This window comes from Homo sapiens, chromosome 7 (assembly GCF_000001405.40).
Source record: "Homo sapiens chromosome 7, GRCh38.p14 Primary Assembly".
Classification (NCBI taxonomy): Eukaryota; Metazoa; Chordata; class Mammalia; order Primates; family Hominidae; genus Homo; species Homo sapiens.
Window position 1 is genome coordinate 31,042,033 of NC_000007.14, and position 27,540 is coordinate 31,069,572.

The 27,540-nt window shown below is 53.1% G+C and overlaps 1 protein-coding gene across 10 annotated transcripts in view, besides 2 other annotated features; it reads left to right on the forward strand.

Moving 5' to 3' along the window:
- Positions 649–1,149: an enhancer, noted in NCBI's record as "H3K4me1 hESC enhancer chr7:31082296-31082796 (GRCh37/hg19 assembly coordinates)". NCBI's record gives its function as "activates a minimal SCP1, AML or CMV promoter by ChIP-STARR-seq in primed H9 embryonic stem cells {active_cell/tissue: H9 hESC(primed)}" and the evidence as "EXISTENCE:reporter gene assay evidence [ECO:0000049][PMID:30033119]".
- Positions 1,150–1,650: an enhancer, noted in NCBI's record as "H3K4me1 hESC enhancer chr7:31082797-31083297 (GRCh37/hg19 assembly coordinates)". NCBI's record gives its function as "activates a minimal SCP1, AML or CMV promoter by ChIP-STARR-seq in primed H9 embryonic stem cells {active_cell/tissue: H9 hESC(primed)}" and the evidence as "EXISTENCE:reporter gene assay evidence [ECO:0000049][PMID:30033119]".
- The window catches only part of ADCYAP1R1 (ADCYAP receptor type I), a 59,167-nt gene continuing 41,902 nt past the window's right edge, over positions 10,276–27,540 (forward strand). For all 10 annotated transcript variants that reach the window (XM_006715645.4, NM_001199635.2, NM_001199636.2 and 7 more), the window contains exons 1-3: positions 10,276–10,646; positions 21,162–21,283; positions 22,799–22,904. In XM_006715645.4, the coding sequence (XP_006715708.1) occupies positions 21,233–21,283; positions 22,799–22,904 (157 nt within the window). In that variant the 5' untranslated portion in view covers positions 10,276–10,646; positions 21,162–21,232. The remainder of the gene's footprint in view (positions 10,647–21,161; positions 21,284–22,798; positions 22,905–27,540) is intronic.

A 27,540-nucleotide genomic window follows, 5' to 3' on the forward strand; every position in this document is an offset into this window, starting at 1 on the left:
GATTGTTACAAAATTCCTCCTAAAAATTTCCAGACTCATGAAGGAAAAACAATGAGAGAAAAGAAAAGTTGAAAGACCGACATGGGTATGTGGCTACTGCTGGGTTTAGGAATATTCATCTGTAGCTCCATCTCCATTTGTTAACATCATCAAAGTCTGCATCTCCACCTCCAACACCACCAGGGCCACCTCCAGGATCACTCACCCACCACCACAATCAGCATCACCTCCAACTTTGCCAATTCCATCCCCAAGACACTGTTCCCTGTGTCTTGACTCTGGGTCAAATTAACTGCCTGGTCCACCAACCTCCTTCCAGATACTCTTTCCCATATTGGGAAGAACTCAGGGTTTGGAGCGGAACTGTTCCTGGAGCAGAAGACTCTCCTCCATCAGGAAGGGGATGAGTCAGCTTGCTGTGGGCTTTGACAAGGACTGCAGCTCAAGTTTTTGCAGCTGTAGGTTTCCATAAGCCAGCATGTTTAGGGGGCTCCATTTGACCAGTTTAAGGAAGTCCACTGGTCTTTTGAACTTTTTAAGATGAATCCTGTTTTCAGTGATCTGTGGGCTCATCTAAGCATCATTTTTGGAGGAATCTGTAGTTGGGATGAGTACTCTGCCTTGAGTTAGGGTTAAAGATCAGTCTGTGACCAGAGCAGGAACTTGTTCTGAGGCTGGGATTAGAGGCCAAACTGAGATGGAGTCAGGGTTGAATGTCTGACCTGGGCCGAAGCTCTGGCTGGGGTTGAGTTAGTTCTTTGGGTAGAACTAGTGTCAAGGTCATTAGTTGAACTTCTGTCATATGTCCAAAATTTCTTACAAAGTACGCCCATTTTATCTATCCTTGAGGGATTCCTCCACCCTCCAGCCCCTGCTTATCACCACCCTACTTTTAGCCCTAAGTTTGCCCGGGCTCAAGGCACAGCCACACTCCTGCTCTGGGGTAGGGACTTCAGAACAAGGTGGATAAACTTTTGAATCCAAAGCCCTCTGCTGCCTGAGCCCACAATTGGAGGAGGGGAGGGCATAGCCAAGGCCTGATGCCTGCCAGCCCTGGCAGCTGGATGAGCAGCTGTAATGGGATTAGGGCTGGCTATGCCCGCCTCCCTGCATGCCGCCCCGAAGCCCTCCCTCCCTTCCTCCCCCAGCATTCTGATCAGGATTCAGCCCTCGGCTCTACCTACCCCGGCCAGGCCAGCCCCATTGTCCTCTCCTTCCCTGGTGCCGGTGCCTAGCAACACTCACAGGGGAGCTCTTTTCCCACCGCCATCCTGGCCCCTCACCCTGCCCCTCGGCTCTGAGCACACACAAGCACCACTTGCCTTTTTATCACTGCAAAAAAAGCCAGTGAAAGGAAGCCAGCTGGTTTCACCAGATTCTCCCAGTGATCCGATTACAAGCCTGTCTTCTGAAATTCTGGGCTTCCTTTCCAAGATTCCTAGGTCCTACTACCAGCAATCCTCAGATTACATTTGAAGATTGCAGAGTTTCATTCTGGAATTCTCAAGTCCTGGAGTCCACTCTAGGACTCCATGAATTCTAGAATTCCAGGACTTTGCGACATGGGCCTCAGACCATTTAATTGTATTCTAGAATTGAGTTATTGTATTTCAGGGGAGTCTATGATTCCAGAAACGGAGTCTGTGGCCATAAATCAGGGTGAGAGGGGTTAAGAGATGATGGGGACATGGAAGATGCATTTTTGTTGTCTTTAAATTGCAGTTTCTGAGGGTGAAGAGAAGAATGAACCTGCTATCTGGAGACAGGGAAGGTGGGATTCATTCACCAACTCAACAAACACTATTAGCTGCTCTAAGCTGCTCTAAGCAACTCTAAGCACAGGGGACAGAGCATTGAGCAAAGAAGGACCCTGCCCTCAAGCAGCTCGCATTCACCTAGGGGAGACAGATCTGAAACAAACTGACAGACAGTATGCTACATGTCAGATCTATGAAGAAAAAGAGCTAAAAATGAATAATTGATACTATATTGTACTTATTCTGTGCTAGGTACTGTTCTAAATGCTTTACATGCATTCACTTATTTAAATCTTACACTAACATTAAAAGGTAGATGCGATGGTTCAATCCCACTGAATAGATGAAGGAACTGAAGCACAGCAGGTTAAATAACTTGTCCAAATGGCAAAGCCAGGATTTGAACCCAATAATCTAGCTCCAAAACCTATGGGCAACCACTGGGCAGGGTTAGGGGTGGAAAGTGATGGAGGGTGTAGCTTACATAGGGCGGGTAAGGACCTTCAAACAGATACTTAAAGAAGGTGAGGGGGTGACGGATATGGATATCTGGGGAAGGGAGGTGGGGCAGACGTGTCCCTCAGGGATTGAGCCAGGTTCCTTCTTCCAATAAGGTGGACTAGTGTTCTCTGTGCTGGGGGGCTGGAGGAAGGTTTTCCAGGGGCACCTGGTGGGAGGGGAAGGCTCAGAGAGATGCTTATTGGTGTGGGCATACAAAGACCCCTTTGCTGGCTCCAGTCAAATTCCTGTGTGTCCTCTCCTCCCTGGCCACTGCAGATGGATCCCCTCCTTAACAGAGAAGTGTTCTCAGAACACAAAAGAAAAAGCTGGAAGAGACAATCCCTCATGACAGGACTAATCAGGCTGGCTAATTATGAGTAATTAGAAACACCTCTCTCCCCCGTGGGTGGCCCTGTCCCAGTGTGAAACAGAATGAGGACTTAATTCCCCCGGGAAGGAAGCGGGACTGGGCAGAGGCATGAGAGGGAGGATACGTCCAGGAGCCCCTGGCCCTCCCTGCATGCCTGGTCTCCTGACCCTGCACTCAGTCTGTCCTGCTTGCAGACACAGACAATGGCACATAGAAAAGGGAGCATCTGGGACATCAGGGTGGAGCCGAGACAGAGAGAGCTAGAAGCATCTTTGGATGAGTTGTTTCACCTCTCCAAGACTTGGTTTCTTTATCTGTAAACCTGGGATAATCATAATTCCTAATCACAGCTTTACAACAATCTAGGGAGGCAAGCTAGCAAGATAGCCGAGCATGGGGCCTCAGTAAATTGTAGTGCTTATTACTGTTTTGTTTTGTCATCTGTTGCTTTGAATGACTTAAAACAGTTCTTTCCCTTCTCTGGGCCTCAGTTTCCCCATCAAGGTACTATGGAGGTAGGGATGGGTTACTCACTTACTCAATCAATAAATATTTCCTGAGCACTGACTTTATGCCCAGCCCTGGAGGTGGAATAAGACTGACATGGGCTCTCACATTCCAGGGAGCTCCTCAGGGAGCTTGGTCAATGGGTTGCCCCCAGCTGTCACATTCCAGGCTAGAATGGGGGGACCGTAGTAGACTGGCTTCTAAGGTCCCCAAGGTTCCTGCCCCCTAGAATACAAGCCCGTACAAGTCCTTCCTCTTGACTGTGGGCAGGACCTATAGATAAGATGGGGTTTTGATCTCCTGATCAGGCCAGTTATGCGGCAGAGGGGAAGGGATTCTGTGGATGTTATTAAAAACTCTAATGAGTTGTCTTCAAGTTTATCTAAAGAGAGATGATCCTAAGAGGACTTGAGCTAATTACATGAGCCCGTTAGAAGAGGGCCTAGAGAAAGCTTTTACACTGCTGGTGGGAGTGTAAATTAGTTCAACCATTGTGGAAGACAATGTGGCGATTCCTCAAGGATCTAGAACTAGAAATACCATTTGACCCAGCAATCCCATTGCTGGGTATATACCCAAAGGATTATAAATCATGCTGCTATAAAGATACATGCACACATGTGTTTATTGTGGCACTATTCACAATAGCAAAGACTTGGAACCAACCCAAATGTCCATCAGTGATAGACTGGATTAAGAAAATGTGGCACATATACATCGTGGAATACTATCAACCATACAAAAGGATGAGTTCATGTCCTTTGCAGGGACATGGATGAAGCTGGAAATCATCATTCTAAGCAAACTATCACAAGGACAGAAAACCAAACACCATATGTTCTCACTCATAGGTGGGAATTGAACAATGAGAACACATGGACACAGGGCGGGGAGCATCACACACTGGGGCCTGTCAGGAGGTGGGGGGCTGGGGGAGGGATAGCATTAGGAGAAATACCTAATGTAAATGAGGAGTTGATGGATGCAGCAAACCAACATGGCACATGTATATCTATGTAACAAACCTGCACATTGTGCACATGTATCCTAGAACTTAAAGTATAATAAAAGAAAAAAAAAAAGAAGAGGGCCTAGAAATCCAGGATGGAGAAGCAGTGGGGTCTCTCTCCTGTGGCCTTGACAAACCACACTGCCATGAGTGGAGAAAACTATGAGGCGGCAAATGGTGGGTGACCTCTAGAAGCTCAGGGCCTGAGTCCTACAACCACAAGGAACAGAATTCTGCTAACAACCTTGGGAGGGGACCCTAATCCTCAGATGAGACCCCAGGCCTGGCTCACTTTGACTGTAGCATTATAAGACTTTGAGCAGGAGACTCTGACCCATGGGAATGGTGGGATAAACAATGTGTGCTTGTTTAAGCCACTGTTTGCTGTAACTTGTTATAGGGCCCTTGAATGTATGCAAGGCCTTGGGCCAGCCCCATCCTGCCGGCTCACACTAACCTTCCCAGCCCCTGATTTGGGACTAAAGCCCTGGGTGCCTCAATGAATTTCTCACAGACAGTCCTCCCATCACCCATGGCAAAATATTGTTTCATCAGCTGCCAACCTGTTCCCAAAGTTGGTCATCAAAGATTGTTCTGTTGGCCCTACTTTTAATATAATTATCGGCATCATTTGCATGACACCGAGTCAGGGCTCAGGCTGTCACAGGCCCCATATTATCCTGAGCTGCTTTTCTGGGAAAGGCTGTATCCCTGCCTCATGCAGGCTGCTTCCTCCCACACAAATTATCTGTAATTTCCACACCTCCATGCTTGCCGTGGCCCTGCGTTAAAGCCAGGACTTGTGTGGAGCTGGAGCACACTGTTATTTTCAAAGCAGTCAAGCCAGGCTCCAGGAAGCTATAGGAACAGCAGGAGGGACCTAGCTTTGACTGCAGCACCTGCAAGGGGGGACAGGCAGAGGGGGTACGGTGTTCACCCCAAGAGTATCTAGACCCAGACCACTGAGGACAGCAAATGTGCAGACGGCAGGGCATGTGCAATGTGGCTCCTGAACACACATGATATGGCCTATTTGTAGGATACTCATCAGGGTCCCTTCTGTAGCCAACGAATATTATGCACAAATGCCAGGGTGTGCAGAAGATGGAGGAGAGGATGCAGGTAGAGATAAGAAAAGGAAGTCCTGTGAATAGAGATTTGGAAGCGAGAATGGAAATATTTCATTCTCCTTCAACCAGGGGCCCTGGAGGGTACTCAGCTCCCATGAGTAAACAGCTGTGTCTCTGGGAGGAGACTACAGCAGGTGAATGGAAAGTGTCACTCACTCTCTGACAAGAATTGCCTGACAGCGATGAAGCTATGCCTCTGCAGACAGGCCTGCTGCCTGCCTGAGAGTCTGCAGGAGAGGGAACATCTCTATCTCGGTGGAGAAGATGTGCTTTCCTATTCCAGATCTGTGGATGGCGTGTATGTGTGTGTGTGTGGCAGGCCTGCGCAACTGAGTGCATGCACATACTTGGACCGTATGTGAATGCACCTCTGGGCATACATGTTAAATGGAAATGCACGTGTGCATGTGTGCACAGTGTACTCGTGTGTAGCAATAAGTATGCATATTTGAGTATATGCTCATCTGGGTATAAGGGTGCATTTGGGTATTTATGTACACTAAGGACAGAGACTAAGGGCATTTAATGCTTCACATATGTCTCTTGCTATTGCTCCAGGCTTCAAGAAATTACTTCTTCCACCCACCCCACCCCCAACACACCCACACTTTCCAGCTCCCTAGAGGCATGTCTTCCCTTCTAACGTCATGTTTCTGGGGATAGAGCACAGGACTAAAAGCCCAGAGACCTGGTGTGTTGGCCCAGCTCTGCCACTAGTTAGCCCCATAACAGAACAAATCATTTCTGTTTCTTGAGCCTCATTTTCTTCATCTGTGAAAGGGGGTGGTAAATGGTCAAGTCTGCACTTAGCATTCAGAGTCCAAGTCCTTTGATTCCTGGCCCCACCCGCACCCACTCCCAACGGCCCTTCTCCCCTTGCGTGTCCTCACCCATTGCTGTGCCCTGTGGTCAGTAGGGGACAGAGAGGACTCAGGCCTAATCTGTGAGGAGCTCCCAGGCATCTCTTAACATGGGTATCCCTTCCTCCTTGACTCTAGGCTTTTTGTGAGGCAGCTTCAAGGATTTCTAGAGCTCTTGGAATACAGTTTGAAAATCATGGATCTAAGCAACCTAACCTTCATTCCCTTGGTTTCTCAGAGGATTCCAAGCGTCCTGGGGACCAGGGTCCATGGGGTGACTGAAAAGGTTCTAGATGGCATTGGTTCATCTGATGAGGATGCTACCTCCTGGCTCCTCTATGAGACATCAGGGGAAAGGAGTGCACTTGACCTTCTAGGGCCTGCTTCTGGGGTGGGTGTTCTCCCAGGGAACTCAGCCCTGCCACTGGAATGTCTCTGGAGCCTGTGCGTTCAGGGACAAAGGGCCTTAGTGGGGCAATGGGCATGGCTTACCCAGCTTAGGGGGGCTGAGCTTTCCAAGGCCTCTCTGTTGCTTGCTCTATTCTGATGCTGATGCTTCCAGGCCTTCCAGGGAGCACTCTCTGAGGCACCTGGGGCTTCTCAGAGTCTCTCTGGCCATCTGACCCCAGTGCAGATGTAGCAGACCGGAGGGCATTCTGAATGAAGCTTTCCCATAGACAGAAACGCTATTTCACAGTCTGGCATTCAAGGCTCACACCATTCCCCAAACAGGGATTAAATGGGCCAATGCACAAAAGGCAGTTACTTCCCAGCCTTTCCATACCCTGGTGCCTGTGGAAAATGAAAACATTTATATGTCTCCTGAGGAAAGTGGAAAAGGCTGCTTATGGCTGCCCAGGAGGCTGAGGGACCAGCAACTCAGCACACTTCTAACCTGTTCTGGACATACGAGCATGCTATCTTGGGATGCTTGCCCGCAAAGTATTAGCAAAGGGCTGACGACAGGGGTGCCTAACCATGGCTGCACATTAGCATCCCCTGGGGAGTTGTAAAACATTCTCTTGCCCAGGCCTCACCATGGACCAATTGTCTAATTATCTTGGGTGGTGAGGCCTGGGTGTAGGTATTTTTTAAAAGCTCCCCGGGGGGATTCTGTAGCGCCCGGAGGGTTGACAAGCACTGGTGCAAGACATGGTGAGCATTCGGTCGATGTCAGCTGTCTACAATAAAGCACCTGGGTCCTTGTGTGTGCTGTTCTTGCCTGAGCAGCGTAAAAGCTGGAGTGGGGTGGGGTAGAGTGGGGTGGGCTGGGGTGGGAGCCCTGTAGTCAGGGAGGAAACTGTTGCTTAGGAAAGATGAATGCTGGGTAGGGTGGCCTGGCATCCATCTCCCTCAGCCACGTCTCAGAAAATTGAATTAAAACCCATATTTTTCAGCTGCTGCCCGCCTGGCTGGCTGGCTTGTGGAAGGGAGTGAGGCAGTGAGCACCTCAAGGCAGGGAAAAGCTGGTGAGGGGGGCCCCCAGCCTCCTTCCCTAGGAGACAGAAGGCAGCCCAAGGGGTCCTCTGAGAGAAGACCCTTCCCAGGGGTGGTCCCTTGGCCTCAGGTCTTCCCAAAGCCAGGCACGTAGGGGTAGGGTGGGAGTGGTAGGCTGGCTGGCTTACAAGGTCAGAGCTAGATCTGGAGGTGAAGTTGATTTTTTGGGTGAATGGGTGGGGAGGCAGAGAAGAGGGGCCTGTCCCTGGGGAGGCCTAATCTCAGGGAACAGAATTGGCATAGCTCCTCTTCCAAGATTATTTGGAGAGACCACAGTGGCATGCCTGTGACAGGCGGAGAACAGCGCAGGACGTGAAAGCCTGAGTGGCTTCCAGAATTAAGGGGGTGGGAAGAGCTCACAAGGTAGAACAACACTAAGTTGGGCAGCAGGATAAGATTTCTGATAAGAAAGTTGCCTGTGTGTCCTTGGGCTAGTCTTGTTGCCCCTCTGGGCTAAGGTACCCCACCCATAGAGAAGGAGACTAGACAACCCTCCTGGATCCCAGCTCTAATGTGTGTTCCATGCCTCACCCAGGCTGATGCTACTCGGGGGGCTGGAATTAGAATCGAAATCTACGAGGGCTGCTAGCCTACACGGCATCTTTAAGACAGTTAGAGAGGTGCCGCCTCCAGGTGAATCCACTAGAAAAAACTGCCCTTTTTGGGTAGATGGGGGCATGCCTGGTTTGGTGGGCAGTGGGTAGAGCAGGATCTGGATTTCCAGCCCCACTGGCCCCTTCCAGGGGATCTGGAACCCGCAGTGGAAACTGGAGAACCAAGAGTACGGAAAGAGAATAAATCTGGAACTGAGTGCTGAACTTCAAAGTAGGGGGGCCTCTATCTGGAAGCCTGGCCATCCACATTCCCAGGATGGGCTGGTCTGCCATAGATGACCTTGATCTTCACCCTTCCTCTCACTCCCAGGCCCTCTACGTCCTGCACTCTGAGTCCCTCTTGACTCTGAGACTCCTGGCAGCCTCCTTTCCCTCACACTTAGTTTCACAGTTTATAGAGAGTTTTTATACACATCATCTCATTTGATCTTCACAACACCAGAGTTGGAGGCAGATGAAGAAAGCGGCTCTCAGCTCTCAGGGGTTAGGGCAACAAGCTAAGAAGGGGTTAGCCAGGATTAAAGGGAGGTCCTGTCTGTGTCTGATTTTAGCACAGCACCTGGCCCTTTTCTCTCCATTATTTCTTCTCTCCTTTCTCTTCATTCTTTCTTGATATAGATAAGACTGATATTCTCCTCCACCAGGAAGCTCTCCTGGACTGAAAGGAACATGAACCAATCAGACTACCAGTGTGTTGTGTCAATGGGGGTCAGCGGTCATTGGTCAGTAAAGAGAAACATGGACCTAGGAACCTCCACGCGTCTTTCTGGGCCCTCAGATTGCTTCTTTCAAGTTTCCATATGGATTCCTCTCCATCCACAGGTCCTTTCCTCTTTGGTAGACTGGCGACCCCAAAGGAAGGCTCAAGGCTCTCCCTCCTCCTTCCCCCTTCTTGAGGCCTCCTGGACAAGGTGGCCATACCTAGAACTTGGACCCAAAGGGAAGCTGAGCGAGAATTTACTTGAATGGGCAAGAACAGAGCCTGGCTGCAGAACTGAGAGCTCTCAGAGACTGACGCCTGAGGCAGGGACCAAAAACCGAGAGCAGAGGCAGGCAGGAGCAGCTGTGGGATGGGGGCTGGGTGGGGTGGGCAGAGGGTGAGAACTTGCCTGGGAGTGGGTAACTAACTACTCTCAGTTAAGTTTGGGCTTCGCTGCCAACCCGCTAGGCCACCTTTACCTGTGTAGTTCTCCTTATTAAGCCATTTGCACTAGGAGGAGGTTGGACAGGACTGTAATAACAGTAGCAATAGTAATTTATTCAGCATCGGCGAATCAATGATACCAGGGAGAAACTACTATGGGGTGAGTGTACCATTTTTATTTAATGCTGCTGTGAAGAGACCTGGGGGCCGGTACTATTGTTCCCTTGTGCAGATGAAGAAGCTGAAGCTCAGAGAGGCTGAGCCACTTACCCAAGCTCACAGAGCTGTGGCACAGCAGGGACTGGAGCCAGGCAGTCTGATATTTTAAGTTGCCTCTGTCCTGTAAGCACCACCATCCCCTTCCTGGTCTTTCTCCGGGGGCGGGGGGGTCACATTGGAGGACATCCCGACAGGCACCCCAAAACTAGCTGACCCTCCCAGGCCTGGGCGGTAGGGGCAAAGAAGAGCCCAAGGAGGGTCTGAGACTTGCCTGGTAAGGAAGGCTTCTTGGAGGAGAGGGAAGACAGGCTCTGATACACAGGAAATCTTGAGGACCTAGGGAGAAGAAAGAAGGCTTTCTAGTCCTGGCTATGATGGAGAGACTGGAAAGAGGGTGGTGAGCCCAGGAGGCCCAGAGTCAGAGGAGACGGGGATGACAGGGGGCTGAGGGCTCCACCTCAGCGCCCCCGACCCCCGCCGCTGGGATTTCCCGCCGCAGCTCCTGCTCCAGTCTGTGCTGCGGGTGGGGTCGGGTTGAGCAGCCCGGCGCCCCCCACCGCGCCCCCCACCGCACCGCCCTCGATCTAACCCCGCCCCCGGGCGCTCATTGGCCTGCAGCACCCCCTCCCCAGCCTGTGAAGTGAGCAGGGGGAGGCGGTGGTCGGTCGCCTCCCTCCAGCGCCCAGCCTGGCTTCGCGGCGGAGGCGGCGCCTCTCCCGCAGGACGGAGCCAAGCTGGACTGCCGCGCCGCGCGGGGCGGGCAAAGGGGGCGCTGCGCTCGGCCCCGGGCAGGGAGTGACGGCGGCGGCGGCGGCTCCGGGCGAGCGTGGTCCCCGCGTGCGCACACGCACACGCCGCCGCGCAGGGACACACGGACCCCGGCCGCCAGCCGGCCACACAGGCGCGGAGACCCGGCTCGGCGCGCGCTCCTCGGCGCACACGCTCCCCATCCCCGCGCCGCGCGGGCCGCGGACTTGCAGGCTGCGCGTCCTTTGCGGAGTCTGCCCCGGCCCCACGGACAGGCCCCGCAGTGAGCAGGTAAGGGTCGCCCCGCCGCGGCTGCCCCTCCACGCCTCGGCCGTCTTCTCCCCCTCCAGAACCTTCGCCCAGCCGGGACCTCGGATCCCCTCCTCTGGCTTGGCGGTCTCCGCCAGCCGCGACCTCCACCGACGGAGAGCGGGCGAGGGCCGGCGCCAGGCAAGCCTCCCAGATCTGAAATGAAGCCCCCTCCCGCCGCTGCGCCCTTCCTGCGCGTCAGGCTGACACCCCCCAACCCAAGTGTCTGGCGCTGCGCTCGGGGCGGCCGATCGCCGCAGACTGCCGGGGTGGGGGTCGACCTAGCTATCTCACGCCCCTCCTGATGCGGAGAAGGGAGACCAGGGGGGCAGGCAAGCCATGCGGCCGGAGGGACCCGGAGGGACATGCCTCCCTACCCTTAGGTGGACGGACGCACCTACGCGGATCGGGAAGGCAGGGCTGGAGGGTCCCCCGGGGCTAGGTACCGCAATCCGCACGGGGTTTGAGGGGTGGGCAAGCAATGTGCTAGGTGGGGGTTGGGGTAGGGGCCAGTGTAGAATGCCCCTCTGTGGTGACACATCCGGGATTGTTCAAAAGAGTGTCGTCTTCGTTTCCCGTGGCGCGGAGGGGCTGGGGTTGGGGATGCCAGGGCTTCAGTGGTCCCCAGAAGAAACGCCCTGCGGGGTCTGTGGGGAAACGCACCGGCCTTCCCAGGTTGAAGTGGGCCCGCTGAGACCCCTGCCTGCCGCTTTAGAGGCAGAAGCTCCTGCGGCGGCTGCGGGGGGCGGAGGCCACATCCTCGGCGGGACCTTGGCAGGTTAGGGGGCTCAGAAGGGACAGGGGAGCCGATGGATGCAACTAGACCCTCAGGAGGGAACCCAGCCGGAAGCCGATTGCATTTCACGTGGAGCTGAGGAGGGGAGCCTCACCCCTGGATGGAGCTCAGCCCCTTTTTGGAAGATGGGGGTGGGGTGGTGGACACCTGCTAATTCTTCCGACCATTTTTATGTTTTTGAGTGCAGGTGCGTCAGACTCCCTTTATCTTCCCCAGCCTTACAATGTCCCGCAAAGCCCCCCTGGCCCTCTCCAAGACACAGCATTTGGCTCTTCCCATGAGCGGCCCTGGGGAGGAGTTGGGGGATGGGAAGGGGCTGGACGCAGCATGTGGAGGGCAACTTGCCCTGGGACTGCAGCTGGCCAGAGGCAGACAAGCATCCTGAAGGTCAAGCTAGAAGCTTTGAGTGGCGGTAGGATTCCCAAGCAGATGGAAAACTATGTTTGAGCCTTTGGGGGCAGGGGCAGCAGGCAGCACCCAGGTTTTCTCAGGAGACCCCAATTAAATGAGTTTGGTGCTGGGTACAAGTAGCACTGGTGGAGTCCCCAGTCCTAAGCTAAGTTCTGCTCCTCACTGACCTTGGGGAGGGCAGGCAGAGGCACCAGCTTGGACACAAGCCGAAATCTGAACATACAGATTGGAGGTGGAACACGCTGAGCAGGCCCTGGGCCAGCTCTTCCAACTGATCCATCAACAAGTGTGTGTGGGGTGACGATGGAGGCGGGCCTGATACTTTTCCTCTTTGGCCATGGGTGGTTCATGGGTGGTTGGGTGTCTGGGACAAGACCCCCAAAAGTCTGTTTGTCCCCATGTGTGGTGAGGGGAGGTGTCTGTGGGGAGCCTCTGAAAGGATCCCTCTCCTGCACTCTCGGGACTGATCTAAGCTAAGGGGTGCATTAAGTCCTGTTTTGTATAAGGTTCAGGCTGGCAGGGGATTGATTGGAGAAACACTTTGGGACCCATGGCTTTTCACATGGCCACCTCTCTCTGTTGTGCGTCAACTTTGGGACACTCCCTCAATTTGTGTCGAATAAATAAATACACACATGGGAGTTTATAGTATATGTGGCTGAGAGGCTAGGAAAGCTAAGGCCACAGGGTGGCTTTTCTCTTGGGGACAGGGCTTAAGCTGGAGTGTCCCAGGTTGCCGCCCTCCCAGGGACAAGCATTTCATTGACCTGGGGCTGGCACTGATTAAGTGGAGGACATCTTGTGCTGTCTGCCACAGGGCAGAACCAAGGTGTGCCAAGTGCAGAGCCGGAGCTTAGCTCGGTGCCAGGAAGGCCTTGCTTGCCTGAGACCCACCCACCATGGGGCTGACACTGGAGGTGACAATGAGTTTCCTGTCCTGGGCAGGTTTGTGAGCAGAGGGATGATGCCCCAGACAGGAGCTGCCAAGTGGCTTTCCACCCTGGAAGGCCTAGAGGCCTCAGAGACCCTCAGCCTTCCCTGAGGAGAGGAATCTGATTCCAGGGTCTGAATGAGTTGGGCTTAGTGGTCCAGCCGCCTGGCAAGATGGAGACTGGAAACTCCTCAGCTGCGACGTGTTTGTACCGAGCTCTGGATGCCGTCAGAGGCAAATGGTGACAGCCACCCCCACAGTGACACACAGAGAGGGAATGACACACAGCTGGGACGGCATATAGGCTTTCTATGACACCTGCCAGAGAGCTGGGGCACAATAGTGACAAGCAACACCAGAAAGACAAATGGACGTTGAGACACACCCTCTCACACAGATCTGGGCACACCCGGGGACTCAGAGATATTTGCCCAAAGATCACAAAGGTCTTCATTAATAAAAGTCCAGCTGAGTATTGAATTGAATGGAGGAAAGTGTGTGTGTGTGTGTGTGTGTGTGTGTGTGCACGCGCGTGTTGCATAAGCCTAGAACAAGGGTAGGCAACCTTTTTCTGTAAAGTGCCAGATAGCAATTATTTTACGCTTGTGTCCATATACAACTACTTAATTCCACTGTGTAGCCTACTGCAGCCTTAGATGATATGTAAACAAGTGAGCATGGCTCTGTTCTGATACATTTTATTTATGGACACTGAAATTTGAATTTCATACATTTTGCCTGTGTCGTGAAATATGATTCTTTTAATTCTTTCCAACCATTTAGAAATGTAAAAAGCATTCCTGGCTCACTGGCCGTACAAAAATAGGCTACAGGCTGGATCTGACTGGCTGGAAGGGGTTGCCAGCTCCTGCGATGTAAGGTTAGGAAAGATAAATAAATGGTCAGAGAGGTTGACAAAGGGAGGGGCTTAGCTCTGATAGCTGCAGATGCCTGATGGTACCTAGGATGCTTCGCTCCATTCTACGTGGAGCTCAGAGTGCCCATCTGTTTAATGGGTCAGGCCTAGGAGAGGGTCCCTGCCTGGCCTCAGCACCCTCCCCCAGATTGGCCTCTGCTTTGTCCCTGTGATTGATTCCCCCACTCTAAAGACACCTGGAGACAACATTCAGGACTGAAAAACTGACTGCTGTCACTTGAGCTTGCCAAACAGTTCCTGAGCCCCCTTCACCATTCACCCTTTGTGTCCAAGTCTGTGCCCATCCTCATGGGTGGGGAAGCCACACGGAAACCTGGGCATGCCCCTTGTTTCTAGACAAGACTCGAAACTCACAATGAACATGATGAGACCTGAAACAGCTCCAAGGAGAGGGGCTCCTTATCTCAGGGCTAGGGCTTCTCAGTGGAGGGCAAGGTCATAAAGGGCGGGTGCTGCCTGAGTGGGCTTCCTGGAGGTGGTGGTGGGGGTTTGAGTTGGCCTTGGAGGATGGCTGGACACTCTCATCCCAGCTCTCCGCAGACTCCATGCATTGCCTTAGCTGCCCTCATCTTTCTCCCTCCTGATCGATGGGCACTGCAGAGGGTTGGCTGAGACAAACATATATATATCCTTCCTAGGCACCTCTGAACTTCCCAGCTGCTGATCTAAGGCCTGTGGACTTGTGTAGTGAACCAGGTCCTGCCTTCTGTTTCTTCCTTTCTCTACTGCCTCCTCCTGAAATTTCCTTCCTGCCACCTGTGGTGGGGGTGGGCCAAGGAGACACACCTCTCTCATTTTTCCGTGTCTCTGGATTCTGTCCCCCACTTTCCATCCCAACCGCCTTCCTGCTCAGCTTAGTCCCCCATCACCTCTACCCTAGATCCGGGAAAGGGCCTCAGGGTACATTTCTGCCTGCACTTTCCCCCTTCATCTCTGCTCCCCAGCCTTTGAAGGGATATTTTCTAAATGAGAAGCTGATCACTCCACTCCATTGCTTAGAACTCTTCATTGCCCCACCCCTGTCTGGTGGAACAACCCTCCAGCTTCCACAGACTGGCACCAGCCCTCCACCTTCTCATCCACCTCATCACCTCCTGATATCTTGTTGTGTTCCTTGACACCCTGGAATCACCTTCCCAAATCCATCCAGGGGGCGCTCATCCAGGTTTTCTGGGCACTCGTGTGTCTTGCCTGTGCCAGGTGCTGTGGGCACACGCACGTCAGAGCTGGGCTCATGCTCACTTAGGAGAGGCTGAAGCTTAACCAGCGTCTGCACAAAGGGAAAGGCGCTCAGTGCAGAGCTACTCCTCTCCACACCACACCCCCTGCCGGGTAGGTGCTCAGTGAACATTTCCACAAGCTTGTGCCTCCCTCTGGCCAGGCTTCCTGTTCTCCTTCCTCCCCTCCCTCCTCTCATTCGCTCCGTCCTTTCCCTTCCTACCTCCCTCTTCTCCCCGCATTTATCTTCTGCCTTCTTCCTCCCCCTCCTCTTACCTGGCCCAGGGGGTGCACTCCCTGACTCCTCCAGGTCAGGAGAGGTCCCTGCACCATCCAGTATGGAAGAGAACTCCTCACAGGACCCTGGGAAGGACTCTGCAGCATGACCTTGGGGAAGTTTCCTGGTCTCCTAGGGCCTCAGAGCCTCACCAGTGAGATGGGATGATACTGCCAACGGGCACAGGTGCCCCAGCCTGGCCCTTCCTTGCTTTGGACCTGGTTCCCTACCCAAGCTTGTGCGAAATGCAGGGCATGAGTGGGATCATCACTGGGGCCCCTCTGGTGGCCTGACTCCTGTCACCTTGTCACGCCTGCCATTGCCGGGAGGCCCCTGGCCCAGGAGTTTGTCTGTGCCCTTTATCAGCTCTGGTCTTGAGGAGGAAAGAGGTTCTAGAGGGTTTCCCCTCCTTCCCTGCAGCAGCTTCTGTCCCTCCCTTTGAGGGGTGAGTGGGAGGGGGGCAGTGTTTCATCTTTCAGCCTTCTGTCCCTTGTTCCTGGCCCTAGGAGGGAGAGGAGGAAGTAGGGGCGGTCCAGCTCCCCTGTCATGAGTAAATGGAGCACGGGGAGAGCAGGGTAGGCGAGTGATGTACTTAGCCTGGCCATCTCCTTTCTGGTATCCAGGCTTGTCCTGCCCTCTGATGGGGAGGGATGCTGAGTGGCCAGAAGATTCCAGTAGGAGGTGGCACAGATGGCCCCAGCCCCATGATGGGCAGATGAGAGTCCCAGGGCTGTGTGGCCCAAAGAAGAGGTGGGGTAGGCTGTCCACACACCCCTGTGTGGGCTTATGTGAGGCAGAGGAAACTGTGCTGCTCTGGGCTGGTTGGGAAGGGCACAGGGACATCAGAGCTTCCCACTGTGGGCCTGGGCCAGACGCTGGAGTGGGGCAAGTGTCCATCTCAAGAGCAGAGTTGCCTTCAGCCAGGGGAAGCAGAAGGGCTCTGCCAGGCTTTGGACAGTACAGGGATGGCTGGAGGGTCTCTGAGTCCCCTCTGCACGGAGATGTGGAAAGTCTTCGAGCCCAGTGAGTCACCGCTCGCTCCCATGTGCTGCCTGATGATGCTATCCTGTGTGTGCAGGGGCCACCACTTCCTGGTGCAGCGACTCAGAGGAGGACATGGCTGCTGTAGTCAGTTTCACTCCAGGTTCGGTGGCTGGGCTTATGAGGCCTGAGGAGGAAAGGGGAATGGTGTGCTATTGGGATCCCCCTGAATTCCCTTACAGTCCAGGTATCTGTAACACATCCCATTCCTGCCAGGCAAGCCTCCAGGCTCTATATTGTGTGACCTTGGAAAGTGTGTCGCCTTCTCTGGCCTCAGTTTCCCTATCTGCACCTTGGGAGGTGGGCTTTAAAGTCTATTTCAGGTCTGAAATGTTGTGTCTGTAACTAACTCTTCCTAAGGAGGAAACTAGATATAGATATGTGAATGGGTGTAGTGGCGGACCTGACCAGCCCCTGGAGGTGTGTGTGGGGGTCCCTACTAGGGTACCAGTGGACTCTGAACTGATCTTCATTTGACCAGTAAGAGAGGGCAGTGGAAGCATAGGGATGGAGTGCACCAACTTTGGAGCCAGACTGCTTGGGTTTACTTCCCAGCCCTACCAGGGACTTGCTGTGTGATTTTGGGGAAGTTGCTTACCCTCTCTGTGTGTCGGTCACCTCCGCCATAGAAGGAGCTAATGCTAGTAACTATTTCAGGCAGGTTAAATGAGTTAACACATGTTTATTGCTTGGAAGAGTGTCTGGCACATACTAAGTATTTAATAAATGTTAGCCATTAGTAAATAAAAGCACAGGAGGCCTGCTATTCCCATTTTGATTGTGACACGGTGCTGTGGGGGTGGAGGTGACAGCAACAGGGTACAAAAAGTCTGAACACAAAGTGGTGAGATAATAATAATAGTTAACACATGTATAGCCCTTACTGAGTGCCAGGCTATAGTATATACTCTATAGTTTCTTTGTATAAATTTGCTGATGCCTCACTGTAACATCTATGAGATAGACATTAATATTATTCCCATTTTTCAGATGATAAAAAGAAGGCACAGAGAAGTTAAGCAGTTTTCCCAAGCTCCTGGGGCAGAAACCTCTGGCAAAATGGTCCCAAGTCTGTCATACTAAATGCCAGGAGGTGACTTTAATCATCCTCAAAAACTATCTGCCCCAACAGAGTCTGGACCCAAGAGAGAGAGCCAGGGAATATGGAGTGACCCATTTTCCCATCCTGAGCCACTTTTGTGGCTGGGCTGAAATCCATCCTCAGGGAGGGGAGAGATCAACCCTGGGCTGCAGTGGTGGGGCTTGGCCTGTCCCTTGAGGGTGTCACTAGCAGCTTGGGAGAGTCTGGAGGAGGAGGAGCCACTGGCAGGGCTGGGGTGGCCAGCAAGTGAGGGGAGGCATCTTAGAGGGACACTGCAGAGAAGCACTTGGTTTGGGGCAGGCAGCCTAAGTCTGTAAGCTCTGAGCGTTGTCCAGTTGGGGGCAGTGCAGGGTTGCGGTGGGGGCAGAAGTGCCTGGAGGGGCTGAAAGGATTACCGCCCAGAGAGGGGAGAGGCTGCGGGAGGTGATCCCTGAGGTCCCCAGCGGAGTCGAGGCCTGGGAGCTCCCAGGTTCTCTCTCTCCTCCTCTTTGCTGGCGGGGGCGTCTGTGTCCAGTTGGGCAGGGGGTGGACTGTAATGGGTGTGGGGACCAAGAGAAGGTAACAGTGGGAATCAAGAACCCTGGGTCTAGTTCCAGAAGAGGCACCCTATTGAGAGTGCCCCAGCTCCCTTACCCTGGGTCACTGGGCTGGGGACACACCTGTCTCCTAGTAAGCAGCCTGGCGATGAAGCAGAGGGCTGGGGGTGGGTCGGGGCTGGGGCCTCTGCTGGAGCTTGTCTTCAGTCCACCGCAGCTACAGCTGAGAAGCTGCCCTTCCCACAGCAGGGGCGAGGCCCCTGCAAGTCTGGGCATCCCTGCATGTGTGCGTGCATGTACACACATGTGCATGTGTGCCTATACCTGCACCCATATCTGAATCCAAGTATATCTTATTGCCTCTCTATAGCTGAATGCCTTTGCTGAGTGAGTGTGTGTAAGCGTGAATTGTTCTGTATATCTACAGTCTGATATGTGACATATCTGAATATCTGAATTGTCATGTGCTTACATCTGCACATATCTTTGTTCTGTGTGTGGTCCTCTATGTGTCTGTGAAGGAGTGTGTGTGTCTGTGAAGGAGTGTGTGTGTGTGGTGTGTGTGTGTGTGTGTGGTTGCCTGTCGGTCCCTGAAGGAATCTCCACCTTGTGTATCCCCATCATGGGAGTTTGTATTGATACCTTCAAGTGGTGGCCCTGGGGATAAATGTCTCTCTTTGTCTCTGTAGGGTTGACATGTCTTTATGATCATCTCTGTGGACCTATTTCTGTGTATTTGTGTGTGTTTGTGTGTGTGAGAGAGAGAGAGAAAGAGAGAGAAACAGAATCAGAAATCCACCAGTCCTCAAAACACAAACTCACTCTCTGTCTATTTGCTGCCACCGGCTCCCCCACCCCACCAGAGCTGTTCAAACTCCTAGTTCCTCTGTGCCAGCTCCCTGGGTTCTAATAAAGGTTAAAATAGAGGCTTTATAATTCTAGCTATACACGAGCATCACCTGGAGAACTTTAAACAACACTGCTGCCCGAACCACAGCTGAGAGCTTCTGATTCATTTGGCCCGGGGTAGTTGTGGAAAGCTCTGATGACTCTAGTGGGCAGCCCAGGTTTCATACTGGGGTCAGAGGTTAGGGCTTTGCTGGGGAAGCAGTGAGTATCTGCTAGGGGGCAGCCCAGTCCTAACCGGGGTAGTGCTGCTGCCACCTCAACGTGTTGCTGGGAGCAAGGAGCTCTGTTTTCACCTTTTTGGCCTGAGGTCGCGGAAGGTGCAGGGAATCGACGCCTGATCTTGGAGGCTCTCTGCCTTGCAGGATCTGCCTGCAACACTCTGCTGGCCTAGAGAGATGGCCTCCAGCCTCTGTCACTGGTGCCAGACACTCCTCCCTCGCAGCCAGGCAAGTCAGGAGGGTTGTCTCTTTGCAGGCAGAGCCTTGGGTTCCCCAGGGCTGGTAGAAGTGACCAAGCCCTTTAGGGGCCACCAGTGCTAGGTCACGCCAGAGGCAGCCTGTGGCCACCAGGGGCGTGGCAAGCCCTGGGAGCTGGTACAGAGACGGAAGCCTGAGTGCCTGGTAGAGATGGTGCCTCAGGGTGCCTAGAAGTGCTGAGGCCAGTGCTTGCCCAGCCTGCCCTGTCCTCCCTGACCCACAGGAGGAGGCTGGGCCAGTGTTGCCATGGCTCCCAGGCTTCTCGGAGCATCTCTTGGGATATCTGAGGCCTCCCTCCCCATCTCTGCATAATATGGGGAGATGGGGGCTCCCTCTTTTTGAGCCTTCCTGCAGCTGGTTTTATTTCTGCTTTTTGGATGCCTGCTTATCTCCAGCTTAAGCTTGGAGAGGCCCTGTGGGAGGCAAGGAGAGAGGGAGGGGACGTGGTTAAGCAGAGAGTGAGGGACACAAAGACCCCTGGGGTGCAGCAGCTCTGCCTGCTGGTGGGGGGGTGTGCGAAGACTAATGGTTGGGATGCACATGTAGGATTTGCTTGGGCCCCCCATGGCCTCCCGGGCCAGGCACCTGTGGGTTAGCAGTGCCCTGATATGGGCCTACTCAATCTCTTTTATAATAATTTAATAGTAATAATAATTTTTAAATAACCATAACCATCGTACAGCTGAACTGGAGCCTATTTAGCAGTGCCTGTTGACGGATGCTTTGCTGTCCCATTTTTTATTGTTGATGCTATTTTAAAGGATGCTGTGGTGAATGTGCTTGCATATGCTTCTTTTTGTCCAATTGCAAATATTTATCAGATGCAGAATTGCTGTGTTGTAGGGTATATGTCGTAATGATCAATTTTAGAAGCAGAGTATACTCTTCCCCTGGGAGCGTGCTGGGCTCTTGCAGCCTCCTTTTTTGACTCCCTGTAACCTGTCTCTCTGGTCCCCACCAGTGGCCCCAGTCCTTGCAGGCCTGCCCCCTTGGAGCTCCTGCAGCTCTGAGGCCTGAGCACATGCTTCACCTGTCACCGTGTTTTCCGTGTCATGGTTTAAGACTTCATCCCGAAGATGAAGTAGAGTGAGGTAGGGCAAAAAGTGGGTGTAATTGTTAGGGTACCAGGCCAGGCAGCTGGAACAAAGAGGCCTTTTAAGGGGGTAAATTAGCTAGAAGGTGGTTTCCCTCTGGCGTAACAGTCTGGGGCTAGGTGGGCCTCCAGGCAGGCTGGGTGGCTGGGCTCCACGAGGTTGCTTGGCGATCCTGCCTCCTCTTGCAGCATTGCGCCCTACCCACTCAGATACGGTTCACGTCCACACTGTCAAAGTGGGGTTTGTTATTTGGGAAGGGTTAAAGAGCAAGAGCAGAGATCATGCCATGCCCTCATGCACAGAGGGTGCAGATGGGACCACATGCTGCCACTCACATTCCATAAGTGCTAATAACTTCATCATGTGCCCACACCTCCAAGCAAGAGATACCAGGAAATATCATCTCTAGGTGAGCATGCATGTGCCAGCTAAAACTTTGTCACTGTGGAGGAGGGGGAAAATGCAAAGGTTTGGGGAGGCAATCCCTCTGTTGCCAAGGAGAAAGCCATTCCAGACCATGCCAGGAGACTGGTGGAGCTGAGCCAGTGTGTGCCCACAGTATCGCCAGCACCTAGCACAGACTGAGTGCCTAGCACATGTTTGCAGGGCAGAAGAAGAAAGAGCAAGACGGATGCAGGCAGGGAGGTGGGGTTATCCTTGGAGGCTGAGAGCCGTGCTGCAGGGAGCTGGGGGAATAAGGAAGGGAGGTGGTCTTGCCCCCGGCCACTGCACTGGGCTCACAGGATTCACACCTTTCCTTCCTCTCTAGCCCAGAGACACATTGGGGCTGACCTGCCGCTGCTGTCAGTGGGAGGCCAGTGGTGCTGGCCAAGAAGTGTCATGGCTGGTGTCGTGCACGTTTCCCTGGCTGCTCTCCTCCTGCTGCCTATGGTAAGGGCCCAGGAACATCTCTCTGGGAGCCCCAGGCTCACCTGAGTCCCCGCTCCAGAGAACTCATGTTTTTTCTGTACCCTCAGCTCAGCTCTTCATCTGGCTGGTATTTCTGCCAACACCACCACTGGGCCACCCAGTGCCTTTGTGTGAATCAGAAAAGACATGCCTTCCTCAAGACCCTGTACTGATTTGACCAGAAATGATTACAAAATTTACAAATCTTTATGATGCAACCTTTAGAGTTGCACAGTACACAACCTGCTCAACTGAATGCAGGAGCCCTGGTCAGGGCTGCAGAAGCCTCTTTCAATTTTCTCGTCACCAGCCCACAATGCCCTGCCAGGATAGAACTCAGAAGCCTGCCCCCTGCTCAGGTCTCTCCCTGAGTGAAGGTGGGGATGGGGAGTGAGCAGAGGAGGACTCCCAGGTTTTGGTCCCGCCACTCTACCTGAGAGTTCAGAGTAGCAGTGGGTGAGGCTGTCCTCAGAACCCTGGGTACCAGTCCTGCCTCTGGCCTGACTCACTGTGTGGCCATAGACAAGCCTGTCCCTTTCCCTGAGAACTGCCTGCACATCTGTGAATAGTAGGGATTGGACTATGTCCCCAAAAATGGCCCTTGGCAATCAAATGCCTTGTGACTGCCTCCACACTTGCTGACATCCCCCTGGGAACCATCCCTGCCCTGGGGTTTTGAGTTAAAGGGACGGCATTTGGCAGCAGCTGTCATGATAGCAGTGCATGGGCTGTGAAGTTACTTGGTCCTGAACTTGAAGCCCATATCTGCTATTAACCAGTGGTATAACTTTGGGCTGGAGTTTCTTAACCTCTCTGAGCCCCAGTTTCTCCTTCTGTAAATAAGGGTGGCGAGTAGGCCCCACTAAATAGCAGCACTGCTCCTTAGCCTGCAGCTGCCGGGGGCACTTTTTTCCTGAGTTCCTGGAGAAGAGAGAAAATGAGCTTTCTCAGCCTGACTTCTCCCCTACCACTTGTTTTCTCCTCTAAACTGCAGTAGTAGCCTCGTGGCTGCTAGAGTCAGGCCTCCTGGGTTCGAATCCTGGCTTTTCAGCCTACTGAGCCATATGACTTTGAGCAAGTGACTTAACATCTCTGTACTTAAGTTTCCACATCAGTAAAATGGAAAATGATAAAAATAGTACTTCATAGTACTCTCCAGATCCATACACACACACACATATGACACTCAGAATAATGCATGCACAGAGTGAAGTGCTATATGCGCTTGCTAATATTATTATAAGATGTGGAAACTGAGACCCCAGGAGGGAGTGGGACCTGTCCAAAGCCACACATTGAGTTGGTGACTGAGAAGAGCCCTTATGGTGTCTCTCAAGGTGAATGTCAGGGCCCCTGCTGGCCCTGACATCTCTTGTCACCCTCCTCTCTGCTTCTGCTCCCCACTCCCCCCAAGACACTGCCCCTGGGGCTTTGGTAGGAGAGCTTACAGATGGGCCTCCTACCCGCTCCCACCATCCATCCTGTGTTCTCCTACAGGCCCCTGCCATGCATTCTGACTGCATCTTCAAGAAGGAGCAAGCCATGTGCCTGGAGAAGATCCAGAGGGCCAATGAGCTGATGGGCTTCAATGATTCCTCTCCAGGTGAGCGGGGCGGCAGGGAGCATGCCACGTCCCCAGTGCCAGCTTTTAGAACTGTTTTCCTGTGCTCAGGCTCGGCCAGTGAGTGGTCAAGGTATGGGTTTCTGGGGACTTCAGAAGGCCCTCGAGAATACTGATGTCCTGGATCTGCTCTGGGCAATGATGCTGGGGTTGCTCTCCTCAAGGCTGATGTGGTCTGGATGCCTCACAGCTGTTCTGGGTGACTGGACATGGCTGCCTTCTCTCCCACAGGAGCTGGGATAGCACTGGTGCCTGAGCTGGGCAGTGGCTGTCAAGAGCTTGTTAGCAGGCAGCATGGGCCTGGTGGCAGCAGGGACACAGCTATTGCCTGTGGCTGAGCTGTACAGCACTTGGTCAACCCAGGGCAGGAAACGTGGGGTCCTTTCCCACCTCTTCTGCTCATTGCATCAGAAGCCAGAGAAGAAAGCAGCAGCAGGAACTTCAGTCTTGAAGACTTGGGTACAACGCTTCTCCTGGGGCTGCCTTTGAGGAGGGTCCTGCTTCCCTCCACTGGAGGAAGCACACATTGCAGGACATTGAGCGTTCTTAGCCTCTCCCTCTAAATGCCCATAACGTCCCCGATCCCAATGACAATCACAAAATGCCTCCCAAGATTTCAAATGTCCCAAGGGAGTGGCACGATCCCTGGTAAGAACCAGTGGCCCCATCGAACCCCTCTCCTAACTCTCCATTGTGCAGATGGGAAGCTAAGGCTCACAGAGCAAAGGCGCCCTCAGCTCTTGGCCTCAGGGGAAGTTGGGGATTTAGGGGAGGGGGCATCACAGAGGCCTCTCCAACCTCACTTTTGCCTTAATCGTTGAAGGACTGGCTCCGTGCTGCCTAAGGGTAGGGCTCTCTGCTCAGGCTGGAGGGATTCATTTTCCTTCTGGATCCTCCTGGCTCCTCTGAGCACCATGTATTTAAGCACTTGACTAATCTGCAGCCCAGTTAAATGGAATGGTCCCACTGGACGGAGCTGCCCAGCCAGTTGCTTCTCAGTGAGCATTAACTGGTGAGGGAGCTACTCTGGACCGTGCCGGCCTTTGCCTCCGCTGAGCTCTTGCTCAGCCCTAACCAAGGTTGAACGTGGATTCGGGGCCCCACCAGTGAGGGAAACTGAGGCAGGGGGCCAGAAGGGCACACAGTTGGAGGAGACCCAAAGAATATCCCAAGAATATCTGGTCCAAGTCTCTGTTTGGAGGATGGGACTGCCGAGCCCTGAGGGCAGGGATGGTGTGGATCACATGGAGGATCAGGCTGAGGTGGGTCTGGAACCCAGGTGTCCTGCTCCCAACCCAGGGCCATTGTTCCTGCATTGCGTGTCTCAGATACATTTGGGGTTGAGCGACAAAATCATCCAGGAGGGAAGAATAAAGGTAGGGGCTGGGGTGGGACAGGGACCTCGGTGTAGGCTGTGTGCAGTTTAATTGCTCACCTGCTTGTTGAACTCTGGGCTGACAGGGCAAGACAGGCCTGTCCACAGGGATGTCGTGGCAGAGAAGGGAGATGGATGCCAGGCTGGAAATACAGCATCCCTGGAAGGGCCAGGCCAGTGCTGGGGAGGAGGTCTCACCTGCAGGTGTCCTCAGGAGAGGAAGAGATGAGTTCTTTGTGGGAAGGATTCATATATTGAAACTGGATCCTTGCTTCTTAAACCTGGCTGCACATCTGAATCACTGGGGAACTTTCAGAAAAACGTACTCCAGCCACAATCCAAACCAATTAAATCAGAAGCTTGGGTCTGTCATAGTCACCATAGTTTTTAAAAGCTCCCCAGGCGATTCTAATGAGAAGCTGGTGTTGAGAACCCTTGAGCTAGGCCCAAGGGATAAGTAGGCATTTGAAGGTGGTGGAGAATTGAGGGACAGACGAATGGGTGAACACTGTAGGCTGAGGAATCCACAAGAGGCAGGAGCCTGGTGTTTTTGGCAGTAGTGAGTAACCTCCTGTATTTGGAACTCAGTATTGGAGCAGATGGGTTGGGCTATTGAGGGGGCATGGCTGAGGGCCCAGGGAGCAGATATTGTGTATTTCATGTCATCTCCACTGGAGATGAAGGTGGGGGAAAACAGTGGCCGGCTCCCACTGAGCTGGCATCTCTGCAACTGCCCCAGGGGCTCCACTTGTGCCCTCTCAGGGACCTTGTGAGTCAGGGCTGGCCATAGGAGGTCAGGGTGTGAAGGATTCTCCAAGAATTGAGTGAATAGCTCTCCTTTAACCCTGTCCAGGTGGGAGAGGAGGCTGCACCCTCTCACGATCTGCTAAGGAGAGGATCCCTCATCTATCCCTACTCGTCCCCTCCCTTGAATCATAGGGTGGGGCTTTATAAAATAGAGCTGAGCTAATTAAGCAGAAGCAAAGGGCAGCCATTAGGTGGGAAAGAGGAAAAGAGTAAAGGCCCAGTTGGACCACCAACTCCATGACCCTTTCCTGCTCTGGGCCTCAGGAGCTTCTCTTTTAAAATGAGTGGAGTGGGGTGGATCATGTTAATAGCCAGACCCTCTATAGACTTCCTGTGTGCCAGGCTCTGTGCCAGCACTTCATTCTATCACCACAGCAGCTGGAGGGTGGGGGTGGGTCTATTATGACCCCTATTTTATAGATAAGTGAACTGAGGCACAAGGAGGTACTTTGCTTAAGGACATAGTCCATTAAGAGGCAGAGGCAGCCTGTACCCTCAACTGCTGGGATGCACCACCTCTAAAGAGTGACATGCTGTGGGTCCCAGCACCCCCCCGGGCGCAGCACCAGCCATGGGATCTTTGAAGGGCCCTTAACACCTTAATTTTCATGTCTGAAAAATGGAGGAAAAATGATACCTACCACATAGGATTATTGCATTAAGTGATAAAAGCCTGTGAGAAGTGCTAAGGACAGCGTATGGGATTTACTAAGCACTTAACTAAGACACTGTAGTTATTAGGAGCTGTCATCTTGGAGTGTTGGGGGTTTCCAGGGCTCCCACCTTCTGCTACATCCCAGTTCTTCTGGGGAGTAGAGAGACATCTCTAGGAAGCAGGTCAGCGCCACTTGGAACAATCCTGGAAGCCCCTCTGGAAGAGCAGGGGAGAAGTTAGGGAGCAGATCTGGGCTTCAGAGGGCAGATGGAGAGTACAGGAAGGTGGAGAGAAGCGTTCCGCTGGGGAAGGGTGGAAAGGGAGCAGTGAGTAAGGTGGGTGGGCACCGTAACAGCCAGCACTTCAAGGCGGGCACTGGGTTCTCTGTCTCTGTCTCTCTCAGACACGCACGCATGTGCGCGCGCACACACACACACACACACACACGTACAAGAACGCATTTAACCCTCACCAGCCTATGGGCTGGGTAGAGTTTTACCCCCACTTAACAGATGAGGCTGCTTAGACACAGAGACGTTAGGTTGCTTGTCTCTTACCTAGTAAACCCCTCAGCCGGGAAGGTGGAGCCAAGCTGTGCATGTGGATGGTTCTGGAGTCCGTGCCTTCACCCCTGGGCTGCATTTGCTGCTCAGAAGAGGAGTGAGGAGACGCCCTGGCCCTCAGCTTTCCCCTTGTCAGGGTGAAAGGTCATACAGCAGAGGCAGTTGCAATGAGGCTGGAAAGAGGCCTTGGGAGACAGGGACCCTGAAATGTGCTCCAGGTCCACCCTTTTCTTAGCTATGAAAAGGCCAAAGGGTGTTTGTGTTTCTAAGGCCCAGGAGAGAATGAGGTCTCGGCCTCTAATGACTTGCTTGGGAAGGAGAGGGGCAGGCCAGGGTGAGGGGAGGCCCCTGGGGAGGCTGTCCTGAGAAGCAGTGTCCATCTTGCTCACTTTGGGGCTGTTGTCTGAAGAGCTTGCCCTGCAGGCTGAGGTTGGGGGACTCCCCTCAAGGGCCTCAAGTTCAGGGATAGCATTGACCTTGCTGTCACTCATCAGGGGAGGCCTTACTCTTCCCCCATTGAACCTTCAAGAACCTCTGGCCTGCTCTTAGGGGTACCCTGGCTGGAGCTGGGCTTCTTGGCTCCAAATTAAACACACTTGTGAAAGATGGGCCTCTACCCCTCTCATCATACCTGCAGCACTGTAGAGCCCCCAGGAGCATTTAAAGGTGCTGATGTCGAGGCCCCTCTCCAGACCAAAGTCCTCAGCATTTGGGTTGGGGGGGTCCATGCAGATCTGTGTTAAAAGCCTCCAGGTGATTCTAAAGTGTACCCAGGTCTGAGAACCACTGGCCAGAGCACAGCATCCACCAGGGTACTCAAGTGATCTCAGGCAGAGAGCAGCCCCTCAGGGCCCAGATAAACCAGGCTGGGGAGCTCACTACTAGCTGAGTCAAATCTGAGCGTACCAAAGAATCGACATCTGTGCGTTGTGTTATTAATCCGTGCCAGTCCTCCTGCTGCATCTCTTTCCTGCACCTTCCCTGCCCGGGTGGTCCCCAAGCACACACGCCATGCACAGAACGCTGGCCAAAGGTCAGCTGATGTCCTTGAAACACACTTGAAAAAGGAAACCTGGCAGCTTGTTCCAATGCCTGTTGAGTGTAAACTCACAACAGTGTCTTTTATCTAGGTTTAATATACTTGTATATATTTTGTGTGTCTCTCATAATTTTTTAAATCTAGTAATATGAGTCAATTGGAACAAGAGCCCTGATCTG